Here is a 21,916-nt window from a genome sequence, read left to right on the forward strand (position 1 = left end):
GTCCGGTTAAGACCCTCCAGCAGCTGTCTGAGAAAGATGGCGTGGGAGGCCAGTTTGGGGGATCTAGTTGGAAAATGCTTTTCCTCCAGCCACACACTTAAGGATAGTTTAGCTAGGTATGAAATTCTGTATTGGAAAGAATTTTCCCTCTGCATTTCGAAGGGATCGCTCTACTGTCTTCTGGCTTCTTGTGTGACCGAGAAGTCAGGTGCCATTTTGATTTTGTGTGTTTTTCTCCTGAAAGTCTTGTAGAATCTTTTGTCTTCAGGGTTCTCAAGTTTCATGATAATGTTCCTTGTCGTGGAAACTTCTTTGTCTCTTGTGCTGGGAACTCGTGCTGTGGAACCTTGCGACATTTGGATGTGAGGAGCTTTACACCCAGTTATTTATCACATGGCCGACTCCCCGTCTCTGACTCTCTTTTAGAGTTAACGCTGATTATTTGTTGGCCCTCCCAGGCTGGTCCTTTAATTTTCTTCTCTATTTTCCATTTCTTTGTTTATGTTATATGCTAGGAGACATCTTCAGGTTTCTCTGTCCAAACCATCTGTTAAGTTTGTTAGTTTGTTGCCTTGTTCCCGTTCTTGTCTTTCGATCTTTTTTCTCTGAAGGTGGCTTTTTTTTTTTTTTTTGAGATGGAGTCTTGCTCTGTCGCCCAGGCTGGAGTGCAGTGGCGTGATTTCGGCTCACTGCAACCTCCACCTCCTGGGTTCAGGCCATTCTCCTGCCTCAGCCTCCTGAGTAGCTGGGACTACAGGCGCCCGCCACCACGCCCAGCTAATTTTTTGTAGTTTTAGTAGAGACGGGGTTTCACCGTGTTAGCCAGGATGGTCTCGATCTTCTGACCTTGTGATCCGCCCGCCTCGGCCTCCCAAAGTGCCGGGATTACAGGCGTGAGCCACTGCGCCCGGCCTGAAGGTGCCTTTTTAAGGCAGAGTGCCCTGCCCTTGTGTCAAAGGCATATCGCACTTTTTCTCTGGGGTTATTCGTCCCGGCTGAGAAGCACCGCGGTATCATGTGGTGATTGAGCAGCACCCAGCACATTCATGGCTGCGAGGCTTCCCGCGTGTGAACTCATTTAATCTTCTCAGTTCCTTGTGGGCACCATTGTTTTCTTTGTTCTGGGTAAAGATTAGCACTGAGGCACAGACAGGTCAAGAAATTTCCCAGAATCGCACAGTTTGAGCTGGGACTCAAACCCCAAGGGCTGGGCTTAAGCCCACGCTATTTGCCGCGTGCCCCAGGGCCTGAAGCTGCGTGGTCAGGCCCCAGCTCTGCTGCCCACCAGCCACGTGACCTCGGCCACAACGCTGTCCACCGTGTCCCGGACCCTCATAAGTGAGCGTGATGGTAAAAGGCTTGGCTCCCAAGGCTATCATGGGATTAGCCAGTAACTAAGCCACAACGCTGGCCCCGCGGCTGCTGCTGATGGCGGCACATGGTGGGAGCATGTGTGCTGGCAGCGGTTGGTGATAACGTCTCCTTTTGGTGTTTTCTTTGGCCTCGTACTCAGCTGTTTTCACCGAGAGTCCCTTTTTGTGTTTGTCCTGGCCTTTGCGGCTTCCTGGGCCCCTGGTGACCCGCATTTGTCTGCCCACATTGACTCGTGGGGCACCACAGAGCTGGTGGTGGCGGAAGTCCCCAGGGGAGTGTCCTGCCTGGGAGGGCCGGGCATCTCACCCCTAGTAAGGAGTCTGCTGCCCCCGCAAGCCCTCTCGTTCCCTGGCTGCTTTGGGTGAGGAAGGGGGTCTGGGGGTCGACTCCTCACTGACTGGGACCCTGCACAGCAGGTGCCCCACTTTCCTGCTACCTGGAGCCTCTGACTTGGGGCCCTTCTTTGGGGTTCGGCCCAGTACAGTCTCCTGGTGGCCACGGGGCCCTCTGCCTTCCAGGTCCCAGGGCATCCACTACCCGGCCTGTCCTCCTCTTTGCTGTTACGGGTTTTTTGGAGTTTTTCTTCCTTTGGTCTTGGGAGGGAGAGTCAGTCAGTGATGTGTTTGAGCTGCTGTGTCCACCTGGAAACCATCGTGATGACGCTTTCTGAAGGCTAAAGTATGCAGGAAAACCAGAGTTGGAGAAGGTCTTTAGGTAGGGGCAGTGCGCGTGGACGTGGCGGTGCGCGTGGACGTGGCAGGTGTGGACCAGCACGTCCCACTGCTCTGCATCCTGAGGGGCCGGAGGGTGTGGTGCAGGGTTTTAAGGAGGGCAAAGGCCCCTCTGTTTGTTTTTCCTTGATGCTGCCCCCCGTGCGACCTGGGGGCAGTTTTCAAATGCTTGACCCAGGTAGTTTAGTTCTGTCACCCCCTCGTTCAGTGGGGTGGTGGGAAGACCAGTTTTTGGAACAGTTTTGGATTTACAGAAAAATCAGGACAGGAGTAGAGCACAAGCATTCCCTCCCTGCTCCCTCCTGGTCAGCGTAATGCGTGAGTTACACTTCACCAGCCAGTCTCGGCACCTTTCCAGCTAAGGCTTTATTCCGCTTGCCTCAGTCTCCCCTCCTGCCCCCTTTCTGTCCCAGGATCCCGTCCAGGGCCCCACGTGGCACTTGGCCGTCACGTCTCCTTAGGTCCCTCTCACTGTGGCAGGTCTCTCAGACTTGCCTCATTTTCAACGACCTTCGTAGTTTTAAGGAGGGCTGGTCAGGTGTTTTGTGGGACAGCCCTTCGCTGGGGTTTGCCTCATGTTTTTCTCATAAGGACTGGGGCCTTGTGTTTTGGGAGGAGGTGAAGCCTCCTTATATCGCTGGGTCCAGGTCCACACCCTCCACGCAGCCTGTCCGTGCTGGCCTTGCGTGTCACCTGGCCGCGGTGTGTTTGTCGGCTCACACCTGCCCGTGCCTCTTCCCCCGTGCTGTCCTGTCTGCGGAGTGAGGCGTGCGTGGCCCACACCTAAGAGGTGAGGAGCTACATACGTGATGTCAAGTTTTGCACGGGACTTGTACGTCTGTTCTCCCATTGGTTATTTAATTATTCCTTTCTGTTCATGTGGACTCGCAGGTGTCAATTTCATACTTGGGTTAGAATCGGATACCGTGTCGCTTACTTATTGCTCAGATTGTTCCAGCTTTGGGCACTGGGGCCCCTGCAGGCTGGCTGTTGGGGCAGCGATGAGGCCAGACACTGGGTGGGTTGGGGGTGGGTGCTGACGGGTCTCTGGCAGGAGGGGGCAGGCTGCAGGGAGCAGGGGGAAGCAGGTCCCAGGCCCAGAGGTGGGTCTCGGGCGAGTCTGGGCTGTGGGCATGGACCCCCAGAAGGGGCCTGTGTGGCCAGGACGTCCCATGGCTGCAGACCCCGGTGTGGGGTGTGGGCCCTGGGAGGTGATTGGTACTGCAGCCGGAGCTCCAGCATCATGCCAAGGTGGTGCTGGGTCGAGGCGGGGAGGGGAGAAGTCACCACACTGTGCCCGGACTTGGTGGCGTGGTGATGTCGGGGCTGCGGTTGGGGGACTGACCCCGCATACTCTTCTCCCAGCTGAGTTGGCAGTGCCGTAGGGTCAGCAGCCCAGGCTCTGCATGGGGCTCGTGTGGGACTCGGCAGGTCCCTGCATCACCTGGCACCAAGCTCAGGCACGCCCCCCACACCCCACCACTGCCGCCCCGCCCCCCAGCATCCCCTTCCTGCTGCCCTCTGTGCTGCACTGACTTCCTCAGTTGGTTTGATGAGAGGTGACAAAGGCAGAAATGGGCAGAGAGCGGCACCATCGCTGGCCCCTCTTGCCCATTTGTCCCCTGCTGGGTGGGCAGTCCTCTTTTTTCGGAAATGTGTTCAGTTCTCTTGCATTGCATAATTTGTTCATATTAAAGCAGGCTTGATCCGGGCTGCCGTGGTTCCGATCGACTCCGAATAGGACACCACACAGTCGTGCCAAGAAGGCGCCTAAGTGTCTTTCCACACGGCCATCCGAGGGCGGACGTGGTCAGGGGTGCTGGACGCGTCAGACGGGTTCTTTGCAGCCCTTGGCAGCGTCGCCCGCTCTGTCCCGCCTGTTGTGTGCGCCTTTTCCCTGCTCCAGGGCTGTGTATTTGGCAAGAGGGAGGCTCCGTGGCACGATCACACGTGCAGGAGCTGGGGGCTGCCAGAGCGGCTGTTCAAGATGGACTTGGCAAATCACCTCTTTCAAGTTGCCGGCTACCCGGCTGCCGTAGACAGAGTGAAGTCTGGTAGTTTGTGTTTATTTATTTATCTTGGCCAGCAGAGAGAATTGAGTTTGCATGGAGACTGTAATTTCATTCTGTGAGTGTAAGATCACGTCCGCGTTCCTAGCGACCGGTTTTGTGATGTGGGCAGTGCCGTGCTGGTAAATGCTCTGTGAGGAAGGAACGATGGTGGGATTTGTCACTCAGTCGATTTCCCTGGTGTAAATGCTCCCACCACGGCCGATTTCAGGCTGCCGAAGTGGAGGGGTTCAGTGAAGGTGGAGTTGGGCAAGGGCGTACACGGTCGGCTTCTGAGAGTTGGTCCCCCCGCCCAACCCTCCCCTGGAGATGGGATGTCAGGAGACCTGGTTCCATTTGTTTTTTTGCCTGAGCGTCCGGGGGTGGCTTTGAGGACACCTGTCCTCCTTCACAGGGGCACTCCGGATGTAGTAGCAGGGAGAGGGTGGAGGGGCGGCCAAGGGCGTGAGGGAGAGGGTGGAGGGGTGGTGTGAGGGTGCAAGGGAGAGGGTGGAGAGGGTGGCAGTGAGGGCGCGAGAGGGTGGAGGGGCGGCATGAGGGAGCAAGCCACCTCGGGCACAGGTGAAGGACAGGTGTCCACACCTTGGGTGCCCCCGTCCTCCCTCTCCTCATGTCCTAATAGGTCTGAACAGGAAGTTACATTTAGGGCGGCTGTACAGTGAGTTTTAAATACCTTGGTCCAAATTTTCAAACACGTATCGTTAGCGTTTCCCCTGTTGCTGGCCCCAGAGTGTTCGGTTCACTGGGTGGAGCATGCTCTGAGCCCCTGGAGGTACAGGGATTTTACGGGAGGAGGGGTCGCTTCGAGGGGAGGTGGCTGCGTCCATGTCTGGACGGAATTACTCACTGCCTGTCCCTCCCTGCAGCCTCTGTTCCCTCCTCACCAGTCTCTGATTCCAGCTCCGGGCTCAGCCAGTGGTCTCAGGACCCCCACCACATTCATGAAAATTACTGTGGTCCTCAAAGAGCTTTTGGGTACGTGGGCTGTAGCTGCCAGTGTGAACTGTACTGAAAATTTAGAACGAGGAATATTTATTCCTCATTAACTCTAATTAATGTATGATTAATTAGATTAATTCTAAAATAACCCATCGGCTGTTAACATTTTAATGAAAAGTGACTATTTTCCCAAACAAAATATTCGGCAAGAGAGTGGCAACATTTTTGCATCTGGTTGAGCAGAACACGGTTGAGCCATCACACCTGCCTCTGCGTTCAGGCTGCTGCAGTGTTGGGTTAAGATTGTGAGGAAATCCAGTGTGTGAGGAGGCTTGGGGTGAATTCCAGTGTGTCAGGAGGCTTGGGGTGAATTCCAGTGTGTCAGGAGGCTTGGGGCGTTTTAACAGCTTTTCCTCTGGTAAACGTGGGTATTCTTCTTTGATATTTCTCTGAAACTCGGCACGTGGTCATTTCTTACATGTCAGTTGAAACATGGAATCTGAAACTGTATTGGTGTCACTTTCCTGCAGTTACCTTAAAAATCCGCTGGTCTCTTTTGCGCTCGAATAGGTTTCTTACGCGTGCGTGTGTTTTAAAAATCGTATGTTGGCCGGGCGCGGTGGCTCACGCCTGTAGTCCCAGCACTTTGGGAGACCGAAGCGGGCAGATCACTTGAGGTCAGGAGTTCGAGACCAGCCTGGCCAATGTGATGAAACCCCATCTCTACTAAAAATACAAAAATTAGCCGGGCATGCATGGTGGCGGATGCCTGTAATTAATCCTAGCTACTCGGGAGGCTGAGGCACGAGAATCACTTGGACCTGGGAGGCGGAGGTTGCGGTGAGCCAAGATTGCACCACTGCACTCCAGCCTGGGCGAGAGAGCGAAACTCTGTCTCAAACAGCAACAACAAAAAACATCGCATATTGGCTGTTAGGAAATATTGCTCCACTGGGTTCTGCAGGTCTTCCTAAGCGCAGTGGAAAATTCCCCCCACGCTCATGAGGGCGAGTGTGAAGAAGGCAGGTGCTGTCCGCTTCGGATTATGGTCATAGCTTGCACTCGCGGCTCCCCTGCCTGGTCTCTGGGACCCCCAGGCATCCCCAGACCTCCCTGGCCTCAGCCAGTTCCCGCCGCTTCACCATATGGCAGAACACATGCGCGGCCGGCCGGCTCACAGATGGGCGTACCTGCGTCCGGCCCACCCGCCTGCGGTCCTGTGTGCTCACCCTGCCCTGGTCTCTGCCTGGACTGTGGATGGGGGTGAGTGGGGCATGGAGGCGTTCTGCACCCACCAGCTGTCAGTGCCAGCCACCTGCCTGCCCAGCATCGGGTCTGTGTGGCAGCACCTTGTCAGCAAGTGGAGGTCAGATGTGGGGTCAGCTGGGCGCAGTGGCTCACGCCTGTCATCCCAGCACTTCGGGAGGCCTAGCCAGGTGGATCGCCTGAGCTCAGGAGTTTTCAAGACCAGCCTGGGCAACATGGCAAAACCCCATCTCTACAAAAAAATGTAAAAATTAGCCTGGTGTAGTGGTGCACACCTGTCGTTCCAGCTCCTCGGGGAGGCTGAGGTGGGAGGATCGCCTGAGCCCAGGAGTTCGAGGCTGCAGTGAGCTGAGATTGTGCCACTTCACTCCAGCCTGGGTGACAGAGTGAGACCCTCTTAAAAAAAGAAAAAAAAAAAAGATGCAGGTCAGGCACAGAAGCCAGACAGGCTGCTCCCACCCCAACATGACCGACAAGGTGCTGTGTCCCTGCCCTCCCTGTGGCTCTGCGGGTAGGGGGCGATTCCTCTGTCAGCTGGGTGAGGAGTAGAGAGGCAGCTGAGTGGGTATTTATTTAAAGGGAAGACAAAGACGTAGACTGTACGGCTCTCTGAAACTTCAGCAACTTTTCCGAGACACGTTGTACCATCCGCCCTACCTGGCGTGGGCGTGAAGCTGGTAGCACACAGAAGGTCCCGGAGCAGGAGCTGGCCCCGAGCCAGCAGCTTTGTGCCCTGTGTTACCGGATCTTCAGAATGCGCCTCCAGCCTGTTGACCATCTTACTGCTCACCTGGGTCCGCAGCCCGCCAGATACCAGGCTTGACTTTACTCCTGGCGGGGCTAGGGCCAGAACCCAGACTGGTTGCTGCGCACGGTGCTTTTTGCCAAACCTCACATTTGTTGGTTGCGTTTTTCACAACTCTTGTCCTCTGAAGATGCCTGCTCAGAGCCCATGCAGCGCCACGCTGGAGGGGCTGAGGATATGGGGGGCCCTGTTCTCAGAGCCCGTGAGGCACCGTGCTGGAGGGGCTGAGGACGTCGGGGGGCCCTGTTCTCAGAGCCCGTGAGGCACCGTGCTGGAGGGGCTGAGGACGTCGGGGGGCCCTGTTCTCAGAGCCCGTGAGGCACCGTGCTGGAGGGGCTGAGGACGTCGGGGGGCCCTGTTCTCAGAGCCCGTGAGGCACCGTGCTGGAGGGGCTGAGGATATGGGGGGCCCGGGCCCGGCTCCCCTCTCACAGGCAGGTCTGCACTCATGGGTGGGTTTGGGAGGCCCCGGTCTTACTGTGTTGATGCAGAGAGGCACTTCTCTCTTTCTCTCGCTCCCTTCTCCTGTCTGGGTTGGCATCATCCCAGGAGTAAGAGCTGTGTCTTCTCCCCTCCCTGTTGAAAGGAATCTTGATCCTAATGTGAACTCAAGGATTTTCTAAAAACTGGGTTTATTATCATCCTTTTTTTTTTTTTTTTTTTAAATTGAGACGGAGTCTTGCTCTGTCGCCCAGGCTGGAATGCAGTGGTGCAATCTTGGCTCACTGCAACCTCTGCCTCCCAGGTTTAAGTGATTCTCCCACCTCAGCCTCCCAAGTAGCTGGGACTACAGGCTCCTGCCACCACGCCCAGCTAATTTTTGTGTTTTGATAGAGACAGGGTTTCTCCATTTTGCCCAGGCTGATCTTGAACTCCTGGCCTCAAGCGATCCTCTTGCCTCAGCCTCCCTAAGTGCTGGGATTACAGGTGTGAGCCTCCAGGCCTCAGCCTCCCTAAGTGCTGGAATTACAGATGTGAGCCTCCGCACCTGGCCTGGAATCATCGATTTCTGTCATTGTTCGTCTTGAGGCTCTGGTCCTCCCAGGTTTGGCTGGCAGGGGCCTTGGCGAGCGGCTCCCCCCATGCTACCCGCTTTTCCATCAGGTTTTGTGTGTTGCTCGCATCCGGGCAGCAGGCTCTGGCATCCCCTCGGCCCTTTCTGCTCCAGGCTGGACCTGGCCGTTTCTCCACGGAACTTGGCTTCCTTCGGAGGAGGGTGGACTTCAGAAACTAACCTGCCTGCTGCTCCTGGGGGCCGTGAGGCTGTGCCCGGTGGGCGGTGGGCCAGGGGCTGCATGGGGATTCGATGTGCAGTTCCCGCGGCAGCTCCCAGTGCCGCAGGCTCTTCTCTTCTCCACTTCTGAGTGGGGTCTCCATCTGCACAGCGTGAGCCTGTTCGCTCGTGTGCTCTGCCTTCGAATGCGGATGACACAGCTTCAGAGCCGCGGCATCGTCACCAGGGCAGCAGACCCAGCCAGGCCAGGGCTTCTCAGCATTCTTTTGTCCTCAGAATGCCTCCTGCCATGCCCATGCCCTTGGAGAGCAGTTTCCAGAAGTTAACTTGGATTCGTTTATTCATTTGTTGTCTTTCGTGGGGTTATGCTGTCAGTATGATGGTCAGTTGGCTTTATTTGTTTCTGTTTGCATTTGATTTTAGTGTATTTCCCCATTCTTTTATTTATTTTTTTTGAGACAGAATCTTGCTCTGTCACCCAGGCTGGAGTGCAGTGGCGCGATCTCAGCTCACTGTAACCACTGCCTCCCGGGTTCAATTGATTCTCGCACCTCAGCCTCCTGAGTAGCTGGGATTACAGGCACCCACCACCACACCCAGCTAATTTTTGTGTTTTTAGTAGAGACGGGGTGTCACCATGTTGGCCAGGCTGGTCTCGAACTCCTGACCTCAAGGGATCCACCCACCTCGGCCTCCCAAAGTGCTGAGATTATAGGTGTGAGCTGTTGCGCCCGGCCCCCATTCTTGTTTATTTTACTTACCTTTGGGTGGTGAGGCGCCACGGCTCACCGTGGCAACAGCTGGCAGTGCAGCCCCACCACGCAGAGAGCTGCACCAGCACCTGTGGATGGCATCCCGAGGTGCCAGGCGAACCCTGGGGCTTCTGTGTCTCTCCTACAACCTTCGCTCCCAAGGGTTTTTAATGATGCTCTTATTTTTGCATTAATTGGGTTGTATCCCATCACCTGGATGTGATTACCGAGAGGAGTATAGCAGGATACCCGAGTAATATGTGTGCGATGCCAGCAGAAAGACGTGAAGAGAGTAAATGAATAACAGGTGGTTTTGCTCTGAAGTGACCTTTTGGTGGGGGTGGCGGGGGAGGTTAAAACCTTCCTGCTCCCCTAACCGGGTACCCACTAACAGAAAATGCCCGACTCTGGAAAGGAGTCCCCGGAGGCCCCTGAGGAGGACCAGCGTCTGGCCTGTCCGGGCACCGGGGGCAGCATCCAGGCCCTCGGGAGCCAGGCAGGTCACTGCCTGCACCCGGGGAGGCCTGGCTTCGAGGCTGGGAACGCTGGGACGGCGTGAGGGACAGGCTGCTGGTGCCTGGCGCGTGCTGGCCGCCTGGACACTCAGTGAAGACGGTCTTTGTTTTGATGGCGGCAGAGCCCATCCTGAATAGCGGCTTTCTCTGCTGTGTGGGTGGGGGCCTCGGGCTCGGATGCTGCCTGAGTTGGGGTTTTGGTTTTACAGTTTCCCACTCGTGTAACTTTAAGGAGGCCACTCAGCAGTGTCCTCACCTACCTGGCCCAGACTCCGCCTCCCTCATCTGGATAACGCCCAGCACACCTGAGAAGAGGCACAGCTCTGCCCCCGTCTGTCCCTCGTCCTCCTCACTGCTCCCTCCCCCTTGCCTGGATGGTGCGCCCCATGGGGTCTGCACGCCCCTCCCTCCGCCTCCCTGTTCCTCCCCTGCAGTCTCAGCTCGGAGGCTGCCCCTTTCCATCGTGGGCTTCCTGGGAACCAAATCCCTCAGCTTTGGCCCTGGTTGCATCCTTAGGGCTGAAAATGGTGCCTGGGACCCAGCAGGGCTCCCTGGACATTTGCTGAACGTCCTCGAGTCCTTGAGTGAAGACGGCTGTGGCGAGTGATTGCCGCGTGACTCAGCCTCTCCATCCCACGCCCAGAGCGGCTTCCGGAGGTCCCAGAGCCCGGGCTCCAGGATGAGCCCAGCAGAGTCTTCCCGTAGACACCATCATCCTGTGTGGAATGTCACCTCTCCTTTCTAGGTCAGGCTGTGGGAGCTTCGGAGCCTGACCAAACCCAGGTCATGTGTGCACAGCTCAGCTGCCTGGAGGCCCCTCCCAGGCGGCGGCGTCTCTTCACTCACAGACTCCAGCTGGGGCTCAGCGCAACATAGCAAGACCCCATCTGAAAAAAACACAAATCAGTGTTTCTGGTTGTGAAAGCAACACATGTTCACTACAGAAAACTTGACCCATAGGGCAGGATGTCAGAAAAGCTCAAATTGCTCTTGCTTGTACTCCCTGGTGAGCCTGTCACTTTTGTTTTATTTTGTTTTGTTTTCCGAGAGCATATCGTTTTTAATTTCATTCTGGTCTTCTATACTATTAGTTTTTATAGAAAATACTAGTGATACGAGGTTAGAATCCCTCCCTGTCATCAGCTAATAATAGCAGTAACAATGGTGCCAGTTCTGTTCCGGGCTCATCGTTTCTTTTTAAAATGGTGGAGCTTACTGCAGTAGAGTGTTTTCCTTAGCCGGGGTCAGCTCTGGTTTTAGAACTCATTTCCCTGTTCGCGAGGTCCCTGGGCAGAGTTCGGCCGGGCGATGGCAGACGCCATGAGGAAGGACCCAGAGGTCTCTGTTTCTGGGGCCTGCATGGGTAGAAACGTGGGGGTGACGGTGTGAGCATGAGGATACTCAGAGCTGGGAAGACTTGAGGGTCGGGGTTGGGGACAGAGACTTCCAGGAGGCAGGGCCGTCTCTGGTCCGTCGGGGTCTGCGTTCATTTGCTTCAGCCTCTGTGAGGAGGCACCACGAGGGGTGGCCTGTAAACAAGGACCCTGATTGCTCGAGATGCTGAAGGCGGGGAAGTCCAGGCAAGGTACCAGCAGATTTGGTGCCTGGTAAGGACTGGTTCACAGCCAGAGCCTTCTCAGAGTCTTCTTCACGTGATAAAGGGGACGAACAAACACTCTGGGGTCCCTTTGAAAAGCACTATTAATCCCATTCCGGAAGGCCACAACCTTACCACCTCTCAAAGGCCTCCTGACACCGTCGCCTGTGGGTGAGGATTTCAGCGTGTGAATTCGGTGGGACGTAAACACTCAGGTCACAGTGCTGGGGCCGCTGTAGCAACGTACCACAGATGGCGGCTCACACGGCAGAACTCAATTCTCTCTCAGCTTGTGTGGTGATCCCAGCTACTCCGGAGGCTGCGGTGGGAGGACCTCTTGAGTGCAGGAGTTTGAATGTAGCCAGGGCAACATAGCGAGATCCCATTAAAAAAAATCCAAACAAAAAGCTTTATTCTCTGTCTGGAGACCAGCGTCTGAGAGCTGGGTTTCGGCAGGGCTGGTTCCCGGAGGCCGTGAGGAGCCCGGGCCAGGCCTGTCCCCTTGGCTGGTGGAGCCGTCTCTTCTTCACCCGGGCCCTTCCTCCCCGTGCGGCCGTGTCCACGTTACCCTCTGTTATGAGAACAGCAGTTGTTTTGGATCTAAGTCTGCTGTAATGACCTCACTCACTTAACTGATTACATCTGCAGTGTCCTATGTGTAAATAAGGGCATGTTCTGAGCTCCTGGGGGTCAGGACGGCAGCTTGGATTCCGAGGGGATTCAGTTGCACTCATGCAGAGGCCCTGGGGGCTGCACCTTGGCAAGGGGTTCCCATGGCCTGGCCGGTCTGCAGTCCTTGTAGTCAGCTGCACCCAGCCCTCCCGCAGAAGGGGCCCGTGCACCCATGGTTTTGTAGCCGTCAGGGAGCACCTGTTCAGAGGGCCCTGCTGACCGAGGGGCGTGGGCTCAGCACTGCCAGGGCCCGTGCCCTGTGTCCCCACAGGATGGTGCTGGCCGTCTCACCACTGAGGGGATGCCCCCCAGCCCCCTCACCCTCAGCTGCTCCTTCCAGGAGCTTAAGGCCCCTAAAGTCTGCCCCGGTCCCTGGGGTCAGAGCCCACCCTGGGCTGGTTTTGAAGAAACACCAGTGCTTCTCCAAGGAGGCCCCGTGCACATGTAGGAATGAAGCCCTCGTCCTCCCACAGCCGCGTGCCCCTCCTGCGCTGCGTGTGTGGTTTTGCTCATGGCACCTGGCGTGGGCGCCCTGGGAGCGGCAGCCGGGGGCGTCTCGGAGAGAGCCAGTGCAGGGGGGACCCCACAATCTGGGAGGCCATGGATCCTGGTTGTGGGTTTTTGGTTTTAACATTTGGTTTACTTATTTTCAGACTTTTTTCCAAACAAATGGTTTATCCATATTAATTTAGCTCTCCCTGTGGAATTTGTAGGACCTCAGTTTTCTTGACATTATGATCTAAGCAGATTATTGAACACACGTCTTAAATATCATCTTTTCAAACTGCCACATGTACCATCATATAGATGTGCTTTAATAAAGAGGTCAGAGAGCTGTGGCCCACTGTAGTTCTTGTTTGTTTTTTTGAGCTGGAGTCTCACTCTTGTTGCCCAGGCTGGACTGCAGTGGTGCAATCTCGGTTCACTGCGACCTCCGCCTCCTGGGTTCAAGCAGTGCTCCTGCCTCAGCTTCCCAAGTAGCTGGGATTACAGGCGCTTGCCACCATGCCCGGCTAATTTTTGTATTTTTAGTAGAGACGGGTTGGGGTTTTACCACGTTGGCCAGGCTGCTCTCGAACTCCTGACCTCAGGTGATCTGCCCGTCTTGGCCTCCCAAAGTGCTGGGATTATAGAAGTGAGCCACCGCGCCTGGCCTGTTTGTTTTTTAATTGTGGTAAAATACCTATAACATAAAATTCACCATTTTAACCATTTCTAAGTGTGTAGTTCAGTAAAGTAAATTCATGCTGCACAGCCAATCTCCAGAATTTCATCTTGCACAACAGAACCTCCGCAGTCCCACCTGCAGCACACAGGAGTTACGATGTCTCGCCGTCCTCGCTGACACTCCCGACTTTCTGTTCCTGGCCGTCCTCTTGGGGCGAGGCAGTGCCCAGTGTGGGTCTAGTTTGCCTCTCCCGGTGGTTGGTGATGTTGAGCCTCTCACGCCTGTGGCCGCTTGTGTGTCGGCTTTGGAGAAACGTCTGCACAGGTCCTTTGCCCGTTTTGTAATTGAGTTCCTCGTTTCTGTGGTTGCGTTGTCCTGTGGGGTGGTTGACCTGCACGCACCGTGTGAACTGATCCCACTTGTTCCATGCGGACCCACCGATTACCAGGTGGGAGCAGCAGGGGGCGTCCGAGGGCCCTGACCCCAGGCGGGAGGACAGATGCGCGTCCTGTGTTGGGGCCACGGAGTTGTGGGCAATTGTTTCTTTTTCTTTTACTTTCTTTGGTATCTTCCAAATCTTTATAAAATCTTTATAAAAATTATTTAAGGAGAAGACTCATGTAGAATGGAAAGCGTCGTGCCAGACAGTGCTTGGTACTTGCAAGAATGGCCGTGTCCCCAGGAGCCGGTGGACGAATCTGTCCTTGCTGCCACCTGTGCGGCCGCAGAGTGAGACAGGAGGGACCGGCAGGCATCGCGCTTCTCCCCTAGATACTCCGGCCATGCCAGCCGCCCCCTTGGCTCCGGCCCCGTCCATCCAGCCCCTTCCCAGGGCTTTGTCCCCTCACCCCCGCCGCCCTCCCCCTGTTTTCCTACGGGAGGCGAATCCTTGATGAGAGGAGGAGGCCGGGAACCCTGCCCCCTCTGTGTGAAGAGGAGGGCAGCCCCTGCTGCTTTGTAGGGAAACCCTGCCCAAGAGAAGCCCCAGCTCAGCAGGACGGAGTCCGACGTTCCCGCCTCAGGGTGCCCAGAGAGGGCGGGGACACCCTGGCTGGGACAAAGTGCGCAGCTCTACCCCTGCTCTGAAATGCCCGGGACTCGGCCGCGCCCTCCCCCTTTTTCAGAGCAACCTGTGGGCCCTGGCAAGGATAGGCCTCAGGCAAAGGAAAACCACCCTCGTTTTCTTAGCTTTTAGATTTTAAAAGGAGCAGTGGGGCCAGGTGGACTTGAAGCTCCGTGGGTTTGTTTAAGGTATAAATTCATTGAGCTTGAAGACGTTGTACGTGGAAGTGAACAGAACACACATAATTTATTCATGGATTTTAGCTGGCCTGTTTTTGTACAAAGGGAGCTTTTAAATTTAATTATTTTTAAGCATTAGAGGATGGTGTATCCGAGGCAGCTGGAGGCCCTGGTCTTCACTGTGAGCAGGGAGGGCCCTTGGGACAGGGCTCGGGAGGAGGGGCCAGGTGGACCCCTGCAGGGCTGGAGGACACTGAGGGCCTCAGATCACCACACAGTGGGCCCAGCTAGGGGGTGACCCTGAATTCCAGTCCCAGCGGACACATCTCTTGCCTTCAGCATAGAGGGCCCCAGGCCTCGGGCCCTGCCTCAGTTGCCTCCACGATGTCAGCTTCCAGGTGTGGGGACCGGGTGCCACCTCACCCCCCAGTTACACCCACACGAGGCCGCGGTGCCCAGTAGCACAGAGATGCCAATGTGATGGGTGGTTTTCAACAGGAACTCAAGAGAAAAGTTCATGCTTGTGAGGACAGAGCTGCAGCTTTAGCCCTGAGAGACCTGGCGGGAGAGGAGGCAGATGGCGAGGGCCCCACCGGCAGAGCTGCTGCCCTGAAAAGCACCTCCTCCTGGTGGACACCAGGTGCATGGTGTGGTCAGGTGTGGAGTGTGGGCCCGCTGGCCTCGCTGCTTCCTGCGCCCTGTTTACCACCCCTCACCCCCTGGCCCCAGCCTTGCTCTTGGCGGGCGGCTAGTGTCCTCTGGCCGCCCTGGGGCAGGTCAGACCGCCGGGGTGTGGAGTGGGGTGCTTGCCTTTTTCTGCCTGACCCTGCTTCGTGCGGGGACTCTGGGACGCTGTGACTTGGCTCTGGCCTGGTCCAGCCCCCAGTGTCCACTTCTCTGGAAGGCGAAAGGCAGGGTGGGGGTCTCCTTGATGTGGGACTGGAAGCTGCTCAGCCAGTCTCCCTGGAAAAGGTCCTGGTGACAGTCACTGCTCGCTGCAGTGGCTGGTGCCCTCCTCAAAGGTGAGGGTGTCCGGGTGGCTGTTGGTGCGGGGCCGCTGGGACCTGTACCCTCTAAGTTGGGACTTCAGCCCCGCCTCTGCCCCCAAACGTGGTGGGCTGAGATGGGGGAGGCCCTTGGAAGGGCCCAGAGGAACCCCAGGGCCTCACAGAGGACGTGCTGTGTACGGTGCCTCCTCCCTGCGGCCTGCCCCGCCTGTGCTTGGAGCTGCATCGGGCACAGCCTGCCTTGGCGGGCACGGGACGAGCCGAGGATCCCCGCGTCGACGTGGAGGTCCGCGGCCGTCAGCGTTGCAGCCCTTGGCCGGGCACTAAGGGCTGAGTGTGGGGCCAGGGCAGAGGGAGCCAGGCCAGCAGCTCCAGGCCCGGGTGGAGGAAGTGCTGCCTGACACGTGTGTCTGCTCCCTGCGGCACGTCCACAGCACCTGCCAGCCCACTTTGGGTGACCCTCCTGTTTGTCCTGTCCTAGCGCAGCCACATCCCTTGGGAGCCTGCTTGTCTCTAGAACCTTCTGCCTGATGCACAACCTCAGAGCCCTCCGTCGCCATCCCTCCCCCGTCCCGGGAGCAGCCCCCCCACTTCCACCTGTCTTGGACGGGAGCTGGAAGGGACGTGGTTCCAGTCCTGCTGTGCCAAGCCTGGTGACCCGAGGGTACCCTCGGCCTCCCGGCCTGAACTCTTCTCCTACCATGATGGTGCCTGGGATGCTGTGTGGTGCCCGTGGGCAGTGGCGGAGGCAGTGGCCCCGGCTCGTTGAACCTTGGGCACTGCCCATTCTGAGGCGCCCGCTGTGCCCGGCTCGTTGAACCTTGGGCGCTGCCCGTTCTGAGGCACCCGCTGTGCCCGGCTCGTTGAACCTTGGGCGCTGCCCGTTCTGAGGCGCCCTCTGTGCCCGGCTCGTTGAACCTTGGGCGCTGCCCGTTCTGAGGCGCCCTCTGTGCCCGGCTCGATGAACCTTGGGCGCTGCCCGTTCTGAGGCGCCCGCTGTGCCCGGCTCGATGAACCTTGGGCGCTGCCCGTTCTGAGGCGCCCGCTGTGCCCGGCTCGTTGAACCTTGGGCGCTGCCCGTTCTGAGGCGCCCGCTGTGCCCGGCTCGTTGAACCTTGGGCGCTGCCCGTTCTGAGGCGCCCGCTGTGCCCGGCTCGTTGAACCTTGGGCGCTGCCCGTTCTGAGGCGTCTGCTGTGGCCCTTACCGTCTGGCTTCTCTGCTGGCTCTTTTGGCCTTGGATTCATTTCTGGAGCTGCAGAGTCACTTCTCTTAGAGCCTGGTTTTGGCCCTCTCTCTCCTGCCTATAAAAAGCCCTGCCCTGGGTTCCCTGCTCCATGCCAGTTCTCTCCCTGCCCCCGCCGGCATGACACGGACACTGGTGCCCGAGTGATGCCTGTGGGTGATGCAGACACTGACTGTCACCCCAGCCCCCCATGTGCTGCTCCGCCACACCCCAGGCCCCGTAGCAGGGTGGTGGTTTGGGCAGCTGGGTTTGCTGGTCCCCTGGGAGTCCAAGCAACATCACCACTGGGTCCCAGATATGCCGTCTCCCTGGGGCACCTGTGCTTCTGGTACCCAGGGTGGAGTCTGGTTGTCTCCTTTCCAGACCCTTCTAGGTCTGCGTTGGCCTGGCTGGTTTCCCTGAGGTTCCCTCTGTAGGGGAGGGCCTGCCCTCCTGGCAGGGGCCCTTGTGTGCGTCCTGAGCTCACCATGGTTTTGGAGGTGGCTGGGCAGTGGCGGGCAGAGCCCCATGCTGTCCTCTGCCTTTGAGGTGGGCACGGCACACGTGAGAGCTGAGCATTGGTGGAGGAGGCCACAACCGGTGCCCAGTGGTTGAGTCGCTGGTGCCCACCGAGGGCCCAGGGAGTGAGGGACCCCCTGAAGAGGTAGCTGGGAGCCAGACCCTCCTCCCGTGGATGCCTTTTCAAGTCCCTGTCAGTTGTTCAGAGAAGAGGGGGAGGATTCGCGCTTTGCGTCAGATGCGTGCGTCCTGCATGGGTGGTGCCGGCCGGCTGTGCCCAAAGTCATGCCCTGCCCCTGTCTCCCGCAGCCTGGCATGGGCTCACGTCCGTGTGCTTGTCCAGCCTCCACTCGCCACAGCTCCCCTCCCCTCCCCTCCTTTTCCCTCCCCACCTTTCCGCTCCCCTCCTCTCCCCTCCTTTCCGCTCCCCTCCTCTTCCCTCCTCTGCCCTCTGCTCCCCTCTCCTCCCTTCCCCTCCTGTCCCTTCCCCTCCCTTCTCCTCTTTTCCCCTCCCTTCCCCTCCCTTCTTTTCCTTTCCCCTCCCCTCCTTTCCCCTCCCCTCCTCTCCCCTCCTCTCCCCTCCCTTCCCCTCTCCTCCTTTCCCCTCCCCTCACCTGTTTGACTCTGCTGTGCCAGGGGCCAGGGCAGGGCTGGCCCCTCACTCTGCGGAGTAAATGGGTGTGGGGGCCGGGCCTGTCTGGGATCAGGGCAGCCAGGCAGGGTCTCCTGCAGGAGCAGGCATAGTCCCAGGGAGCAGGCAGCTGCCTAGGAAGGCAGTCAAGCAGATGGGGACCTCGGCTGCCCCAAGACTGGCCCGGGGCTGGTCCTCCCTGCGTCTGGCCTCTGGGTGGGTGGTGGTGGCTTCCTTGTGACTTCATCCCTCCGATCGGGCAGGTGGTTTTGTGCAGTGTGTGCCTGGGAGGCGCACGGCAGCATGATCGGTCCCTGAGTGTCACGGCAGCATCAGAGGCCAGTTTGGCATCTGGAGTAGCTGCCACCGAGAGAGGCCCAGCCGCCAGGCAGCTGGGAGCACAGGTGTCGGCATCCCACTGGGAGCACGGGTGAGGTGCCTCCCTTCTCTGGGCAGAGTTTCCCCAGTTGGTGGTGTAGACGCCAGGAACGCGGTTGTACGGACTTCGTGAGGATCTAACACAGCAGTGTGTAAAAACAGCGCCAAGCGTGTCCTCGGTGGGCGCTCAGAGGCGGTTGTGAGCAGTGCAGATGCTGTTGGCCTAGTTCTGACAGGGTGGCCCAGGGGTCTCCCCGTGGCGTGGCATGGACGGTGGCAGCTCCTGTGGTCATCACTGCCATGGTCCGGAGCGGCCCTGGGCTCTGCAGCAAGGCGGTGAATGTGGAGCTGAGCGGTCCGAATCAGGGTCTGGGTTGCTCGTTCAACTCAGGAACTTCCCCAGATTCCTGAGTTTTCCTCTAGCCGAGGTCAGGGGCAGCCAAGGGAAGGGTCAGCCAGCTCATCCAGACCTCGCTCTGCAACAAATCTCCAGCCTGGGTTGCCATGAGGCACCCTGGGGAGGACTCAGGACGAGGCCCCTTGAGGCTGAACCTGAGACCTAGGAAACTCCAGGTGGGTCCTAACAGGGCTTGTCACTGAGCGTAGGCCTGGACACGGCCCTGTGGTGTCTCACCCACGGGCACCAGTCCCTGTTGAGCAAGGTCCACGCAGCCCTTTGTTCTGGACGGAGCTGACGCTCAGGCCACAGACTCCGACTCCATTCTTCAGAGGCTTCATCGCCTGCACAGGAAGAGAGGCCTGGAGATACCAGGTTGTCTTGGGGCCACAGCTGGCCCTTGGCATGGCTGGGGAGCAGCAAAGCAGTTCATTAGGACCAGGGCTGACCACACCAGTGTCCATGCCCAGAGGTTCTGGGTTCTGCCCTCTTGCTGTCGTCCGGTGCAGGCCACATGGCCACCTGGGAAGGCCCGGGTCGTCGTCATATTCCGAGTGTGACCAAGAGTTCAGGGGCCCAGGTACCTTTCTGGGCCCCTCTCAGGGTCTTTGGAAAAGTCCAGAATGAGCTGGGCTGGTGGAGAATTCAGGAGGTGTGGCCAGTGCCCCCCTGTGCTCTCAGAAGCAGGGGTCACTGGCGAGAGGGCTGGGTGGCCCGGCGATCAACCTGAAGGCATTCCTTACCTGCCCTTGGACCCGGTGAGCCAGTGACTGGCGTAGGCTTTCAAACCTTTCAAACCACTTCTCCTGGAGCCCCGTGTTGTGTGCGTCCCTCAGCCCATGCACCCCGGAAGGCACGCCTCGCACCCAGCTGTAGAGCCCCATGTTGTGTGCACCCCCAGCCCATGCACCCCGGAAGGCACGCCTCGCACCGTGCTCCTGGTGGGGCCCGTGCCAGGGGGGCCCAGGCTCCTGGGGACAGTGGCCCAGGACTTGGGATGTTAGAAATAAATTTTGGGTGCTGCAAAAGAAATAGCACTCGAACATAAATTTAATTTTCTCAGCAAGGCAATTTTACTTCTATAGAAGGGTGCGTCTTGCAGATGGAGCAATGGCGAGAGCACACCTGAACGAGGGAGGTGGAGGTCTCATCCTAACGCAGCCAGTCCCTGCTGCTGTGTGGTTCCCCTGTTGGCTAGGGTTGGACTGCACAGTCTAAGCTAATTCCGATTGGCTATTTTAAAGAGAGTAGCAGTACGAGCCGGAGTGGCGGGGTGAATAGTTTGACGGGAAGGATGGTTACAGAACAGGTGACTCAGGATGACTAAGAACAGAGCAGGTGACAAGGATGACTAAGGTCAGAGCAGGTGACCAGGGGTGACTAAGGACAGAGCAGGTGATAGAGGCTAGGCAGGGGTTGTTTACTGAAACTAGGGGCAAGGATATGTAAAGTACAAGGAAGTTAAACTTTAGAATGAAGAACAAAGAATGGGGATGTAACCATACGGATACATTGCTTCTTTGGAGAGGAGCTCAGAATTCATTATACTTAACAATTTACAGGCTAAAACCTTTGAAGAGGAATTTATTATGTTCTACAGGAGCGGTGCCGCTGGCCTGTGGCTTCTGCAGGGACAAGTAGTGGCTGTGGCCGGGAGGCGTTCGGCAGCTGTGCTTCAGCCCCGGCCCCAGCTTCAGCTCTTCGAGTTGCTGGCTTCTCTAAGGCCTGTCCTGAAGTGGCCTGGAGACTGCTGAGTTACTTCTGGAATCTGCACCGTGAAAGTGAAACCTGGACCATGATGTGAGGCTGGTGAGAGGGTGCCCTCTGCCGTCACCCCCGGCCTTGTAGAAAACTCATTCCAATGGCCCTCTGGTTCTCACTCAGGACCAAATAGTGATGGTTTTTTGTTTGTTTTCGTTTTGTTTTGTTTTGTTTTGTTTTGTTTTGTTTTTTTAGACAGAGTCTCGCTCTGTCGCCCAGGCTGGAGTGCAGTGGCGTGATCTCGGCTCACTGCGAGCTCCACCTCTCGGGTTCACACCATTCTCCTGCCTCAGCCTCCCAAGTAGCTGGGACTACAGGCGCCCACCACCACAGTTGGCTAATTTTTTGTATATTTAGTGGAGATGGGGTTTCACCATGTTAGCCAGGATGGTCTTGATTTCCTGACCTCGTGATCCACCCACCTCAGCCTCCCAAAGTGCTGGGATGACAGGCGTGAGCCACCGCGCCGGGCCCAATAGTGATGTTTTTACTGCTCTGGGCCTGATCGCATGCACCGTTGTCTGTGCTGTGACTTCCGTCGTTGTCTGTGCTGTGACTTCCGTTGTTGTCTGTGCTGTGACTTCCGTTGTTGTCTGTGTTGCGACTTCTGTGGGATATTCGTTGGAGAAGGAGCCACACAGCTGTGTGGGACCCGGCACTCCTTCATCACCATCATCCAGGGCCACGGACACCCCCTCTCACAAGTCGCTGGGATATGAAATTAGGGAATAAATGGGAATTTTCAGTGCGATGCAGCTGGCGCTAGGATCCTCCTCAGTGTGACGTCTGAGACCTTTTCCCAGCTGGAGCCCTGTCATTCATTCATTCATTCATCCCATGCCAGGCTGGGCGGCTGCCAGAGGCACAATCCGGAACCGCCCCTTGCTAATGGGCGGACCAGTGAAAGCAAAGCGGGCTCACTGTGCAGACCAATGATTGACAGTTCCAGGGTGTGATGGACACAGGCGGCTGCCAGGAAGGAGCCCCTTCAGAAGCAGTGGGCGGGGCGGGGTGGGGAAGGCCGTGGGGAGGAGTGACTTCCAGATGAGGCTCACAGGACTGTACCCGGAGGGAGGGGGCAGCAAGGACCCTGTGGGCAGCCGGGGGCACGGCACAGGCTGTGGCTGTAGGTGTGGGTGGTGCCCAGGCATTGACAGAGGGGAGCTCACTGGACGGGGCAGCGTGGAGGTGAGGGTCGGGTGAGGGCCCCTCGGGAGCCCCTGGCCATGTTAGTTGCACATTTCATGACTCTTTAAGGAGTTAGTGAGGCCTGGGTGTGACCTATTTCCCGTTCCAATTAAACAGGTCATTAGTCCGTGTCGTGCTAAAGCAGATCACTCGCAAGGAATGGAAAACCCTTGAAATACGTTTTTTAAATCGGTGAAAGTGAGAAACTGATGCCTCTGTGGGAAAAGACCAGACTCCAGGGTCTGCACCCTCAGAGTGATGAGCTGCGTCTGTTAGGGGTGACCTGAGGTCCCTGCTTTGAACCAGCTTGTTGAAACCGGAAGCCATTTCTCATCTTCTGTAAGAGCCTGCAGCCCCTGTCAGATGCCAGCCATTCCCCAGGTCTTGCTGACACTGTCATTAGGATTCCTATGAGGGCCAGTGGGGAGACAGCTCAGTCTCGGCCCTGC

General features: G+C 57.4%; 1 protein-coding gene across 22 annotated transcripts in view, besides 3 other annotated features; it reads left to right on the top strand.

Annotated features, from left to right (window-relative positions):
* PRKCZ (protein kinase C zeta) overlaps positions 1-21,916 on the top strand; it is a 136,892-nt gene that overhangs the window by 29,725 nt on the left and 85,251 nt on the right. Inside the window, exon 2 of one of the 22 annotated variants that reach the window (NM_001350804.2) lies at positions 20,119-20,327. The exons of the other annotated variants lie outside the window; for them this stretch is intronic. The gene's annotated coding sequence lies outside the window, so the exon portion shown is untranslated. The remainder of the gene's footprint in view (positions 1-20,118; positions 20,328-21,916) is intronic. 22 annotated transcript variants of the gene reach the window in all.
* Positions 7,003-8,001: an enhancer, noted in NCBI's record as "H3K27ac-H3K4me1 hESC enhancer chr1:2016670-2017668 (GRCh37/hg19 assembly coordinates)". NCBI's record gives its function as "activates a minimal SCP1, AML or CMV promoter by ChIP-STARR-seq in naive H9 embryonic stem cells {active_cell/tissue: H9 hESC(naive)}" and the evidence as "EXISTENCE:reporter gene assay evidence [ECO:0000049][PMID:30033119]".
* Positions 16,752-17,253: an enhancer, noted in NCBI's record as "H3K4me1 hESC enhancer chr1:2026419-2026920 (GRCh37/hg19 assembly coordinates)". NCBI's record gives its function as "activates a minimal SCP1, AML or CMV promoter by ChIP-STARR-seq in naive H9 embryonic stem cells {active_cell/tissue: H9 hESC(naive)}" and the evidence as "EXISTENCE:reporter gene assay evidence [ECO:0000049][PMID:30033119]".
* Positions 17,254-17,753: an enhancer, noted in NCBI's record as "H3K4me1 hESC enhancer chr1:2026921-2027420 (GRCh37/hg19 assembly coordinates)". NCBI's record gives its function as "activates a minimal SCP1, AML or CMV promoter by ChIP-STARR-seq in naive H9 embryonic stem cells {active_cell/tissue: H9 hESC(naive)}" and the evidence as "EXISTENCE:reporter gene assay evidence [ECO:0000049][PMID:30033119]".

The sequence above is a fragment of the Homo sapiens genome, chromosome 1, assembly GCF_000001405.40.
Source record: "Homo sapiens chromosome 1, GRCh38.p14 Primary Assembly".
Classification (NCBI taxonomy): domain Eukaryota; kingdom Metazoa; phylum Chordata; class Mammalia; order Primates; family Hominidae; genus Homo; species Homo sapiens.